Source organism: Homo sapiens, chromosome 11 (assembly GCF_000001405.40).
Source record: "Homo sapiens chromosome 11, GRCh38.p14 Primary Assembly".
In the NCBI taxonomy this organism is placed as follows: Eukaryota; Metazoa; Chordata; class Mammalia; order Primates; family Hominidae; genus Homo; species Homo sapiens.
The window spans coordinates 95513816-95518265 of NC_000011.10; the positions used below are offsets into that span (position 1 = coordinate 95513816).

The following is a 4450-nucleotide window of genomic DNA, read 5'->3' on the forward strand; positions in this document are numbered from 1 at the left end:
GATTCCAAATCTTGTCATGAGCCAGTTCACCATTTTTATTACAGTTTGCCTACTTTGAATGAGTATATTAAATTCTTACTTGACAGCCAGTTTTGATGACAGGCAAAAGATGGAAGAGAGAAGAGAATCCTTGCTCCACTGTGAGAAGGAACTTTCATGAAATGGAGAAATGCTGGCTATTCCCTTATGTAATGCATCATTTTATTGAGAGTCACCCTCAGTAAAGTCACCATTTTATTGAGAGTTCTATCCCCAGCCTTACTTTACACTTCAACTAGGATGTCTGATTTGAGTTACTAATAGAGAGGCACTGTAGGACAATGGTCAAGTCAGACCCTTTTGGATTCACATTCCAGGCTTATCTACTAGCTGTACCACCTTGAACAAGTTAATTGAATTTACTGAACCTCTGTTTCTTCATCTTTACAACAGGAATAGCAAAGGCTACCATATAGGATTATTGTGAGAATTTAATAAAACAATGTATGTCAGGTCTTTTGAGTAGTGCAAAAGACTTTTGGTACATAGCAAATACTCAAAAAATATTGACATCATCATCATTATTATCGTCATCACCATCATTATCATCTGGTCCCAGTAGGTATGAGCTGGGAGCAGAAATCATTTTTTACTGGTTAATCTATGACTTAGGTAATTTAAGTGTTTGTCACTAGCCTAGCCAGACTTAGTTCTGTTTCATCCTGAATCTTCACTTGTCCTTCCTGGAGCTATGAAAAATAAGCCACACATACTGCACCACCCTATTTGGCCTTGGGGATAGGATTAGACTAGTAGGAACACGTACACATTTCTATGATTTCTCCTGGATCTGAAACAGCTCCCTTAAGTCTCAGCCTTACTGAAGATCCTAAAGCTATAAAAAAGAAGCTATAAATAACCATAGAAATTTGTAGACAAATTTAGTTGGACCTAGACATCTGGAGTGGCCCTTCAAAGGTACTAACTATCCTACTTTTCTGTTTTAAAACTGTTGATGTGTAGGTCTCACGGGACAAAAAGACAAGTAACAAAGTTTTTGGCCTGCTTCACATCCTATGGAATCCCTTGGGAATTTTTTCTTCAAGGTTTACCCAGTATGTGAATCTGACCCCATGATATAACATTTGTGAACAGTTCTGTACAAACAAGGACTTGTTTCTCTCCCTCCCTCTGATTCCCCGTGGAATTTTCAGGGATGAACAGTCTTTTCATCTTGAAATCAAGCAGGAATAAGTCCGTCTTGACTTCCCTCTTCACTGCCTTTCCTCCCCCACTCTTTTCAAAATCTTCATTTAAGGATCTGTGGAGTGAACAAGACAGATCTTGATTTGTTTGTGTTGTGTAAAAGTTGAAAGGAGCCAGGAAGAAAGAGTACCATTTGCTAACCTCAGGAGACTTGGAAAATATATTTTAATCCGAGAAATTCATTCAAAGGCACATCTTTCTAGTATCTGTAAGATGAACTATTTTTAAAAATCACAATTGCTCTTCCAAGAGCCTCCTTGAGATTTATTGGAAGAGCATTGAGAGTCAGTCTGGCAATGCAAATTAAGGGTCAGGGAACTGAGAACACCAATGTGGTCCTCACTTTGCACAAATGATTTATAACTCAGATGATGACTTAAGGTATGACTTGAGTAATTTAGATACGACTGACTTGATTCCCCCATTCTGCGCTCTGTGAAAAGTTCAGTGCCTTTCCACAATTTCTGCAAATCCCCAGGGGACTTATACACTCATGATCACCTTTGAGCTGAACAATTTACACTCAATTTCAGTTCAGTTCATGAATCCTAAGCTGACCTCACTCTGAATCATGTATTCAACATAACTTCTTTCTCCAATTTTTTAACAAATCCACTCACATGGGCCTTTTTAAAGGTTTGTGAAGGCATAGAAATAAATATAAAGCAGCATAAGCAACTGAAATTTCCTTATCAGCTATATCTGCCCTTTAGAAAGTATTTTAGATACCCTCCAACTTGGACACTATCTTCCCACCATGCTGCTAGACCCTACCCTTTCCCCTCTCCTATCTTAGCTACTTCTATGGATGATTTATTGTGTGTTCTCTCTTTCTTTCTTTTTTCTTTGTTTCTTCTCCTTTTGATTGTCTCCTGCTAGTCTATGTTCACATGGACCACACTTTCAACCTCTCAACCCCAGTGATTTACTAAGGTATTTTCCTATATAAAAGCAGTTCTTTCCCAAAGAAAAGTACTAAATAAAGAAAGCCGCTAAGATAATAATTGTTTTGAAACCTTTACAAATATGTTTGGAAAGGTATGATAGTTCACTGAAAAGTGACTCCAATCTTTAATTAATTCATGGAAAGCTCACTCTTTCAAGGACTGACATGTTGAATCTGCAAGCAATATGAAACATTCTTATTTTGGCTTTCCAAACCATTTGAATAAAATAACTCTGAATTGTTCTTCTTTCTACTTGGCACCAAGATGGATAGAAAAGGCTCTGTGAGATTTCTTTCCATAGTGAGAAGGATTATGGCCAAGCTATTTATTAGCCTCAAAAGGAAGATGCATACCACGTGCTTTTAAGCTGCATGCTGCTGTCCACCGGTGTCTAGGTCTTGTTCCCACATGGAATGCATACATAAATGTTCATATTCATCACACATCAGAAGAATCCCTTTTTGTATGCATGGGGGGAGAAGGAGACACTTACATTGGCATAATTTAGAAACATGGAGGAAGAGCCCTTCTTTTCCCAAAATAACCTCTCCAGCTTTGTTCTGACTCCTACTATTCCTTTAATACCAGATAAAGTCCTCTAGTCTGCAATTTGTTATAGAGCTTAAAATGCAAACCAAGAGTGGGGGAGCCTGGGTAGCGTATATTCATACAAAGATGTGAATTAATATCAGATCTTTTTTCTTAAGAGCTATTTTTTTAATAGGGAAAAGAAACCCCAAGATCCTTGAAGTAAGAGGAACTTTAAAAGGAGAAATAATGTTTATTGACCACCTGCTTTATGCCATGTAATGTTCTGGGATTTTGCCTATGGAGTATATCTTTTATAACTCCAAAAACACTCTGAAGGATATGAAAGATTGCCTTTTGTACTGAGCTACATCTGCCCAACTCTTAGTCATCCTAACCCATTTCCTAACCATAATGCATAATTCGACAAACATCTATAGACACTCCTCCCCCTTACACATGCACATAAACACAAGTATGTGCAGAGCATCTGGTATGGATCAGTAGGAACGTAAAAGCAGCATTACCCAACATATACTTACCCTAGTTTCCACTTGTCTCTATTTAGACACATGCAAAAAAGAGCCACTCTTTTATACCTGAGAAGGAGAAAGGAACTTTATATTTATGGTTGAGTCAGGGATGGCAGGGGAGAGAAAGAAAGCAGAGTATGAAGGGGATAGAATTGTGCCTATTCTTCCTCTGTACAAGACAGAGCCAGATAGTGTTTGTGTGTGTGCGCGCGTGTGTGTTTACATGCATGTATGTGTGTTTTCAATATATGAACGAGGGTGGATAATGCTGGTCAGCTTAAAAGCACGTGTTGAACTCAGCCATTAGACCCTAATAATGGCTTGACCAAAAACCTCCTTTCTAGGGAAAGAAATCTCACAGAGCCTTTTCCTTCGATTCTTATGCCATGTAGCAATAAAGAAAAATCCGTAGTTCTATTGTTAAAATAGTCTAGAAAAAAATTAAGTAAGGAGTAATTATTCACAGGCTCAGCATAGCAGCCCTCTCAAAAAGGAATTTTCTCTGGCTCACTTTGGGGGTTTTTGAACTTCATGTGGAGAGCAGTCAGAAAAGCAGCTGATTTAACTGTTCAAGAGAAATTTCATCATGCAGCTGAATTCAAGCACAGCTGTTGCTGGGCCTGAGTGACACATTGTGACAAAGAGTAGTATGCTCCATCCCCACCCCCATATCACTACCTCAGGCCCCAGGTACAATTAACTCCAGAAACACTCCAGCACCTGGAGGATCAGGAGGTTTGGGAGAGTGTAAAGGAAGTAGTCCAGATGTGGACATTGGCATTCTCAAGACGGGCTATGAGTGTGGAAAGCCTTTTTCCTCCTGCTTTGCAAACAGCCAATGGGGGACAGAAGGGAACTGGGGCCAAAGAGAAAGGACTGAGCTGATACCACCTGGTAACTACAGCTAACAGACCCTTATAAGGAAAATTGCAGGAAGCTCCTTCAGGGACTCTTCAGATACAGTAAGTCTCACTTCATGTCATTCACAGCCTCCTGGAAACTGTAACTTTAAGAAAGACAACATGTAACAAAACCCATTGTATCATAAGCTAATTGATAAAAGGAAGAGTTAATTCCTATGACATAGTTTTGGTCACAAAAACATCACTGGACTTCTAAGTAAAGACCAAAATACTTCTAATATTAAACATTGAAATAAATGTGAATTATATATACATTTAAGAAAGATTGATAGAA

The 4450-nt window shown here is 38.6% G+C and overlaps 1 long non-coding RNA gene across 1 annotated transcript; it reads right to left on the reverse strand.

The window, feature by feature from the left end:
- Window positions 1-380: 380 nt before the first annotated feature.
- On the reverse strand, window positions 381-3338 carry LOC105369440 (uncharacterized). The gene is made up of 3 exons (XR_001748336.2): window positions 3263-3338; window positions 2546-2649; window positions 381-1300 (listed from the first exon to the last, which is right to left on the reverse strand). It is a non-coding gene; the product is annotated as an uncharacterized LOC105369440 (long non-coding RNA).
- Between the last annotated feature and the right edge of the window lie 1112 nt (window positions 3339-4450).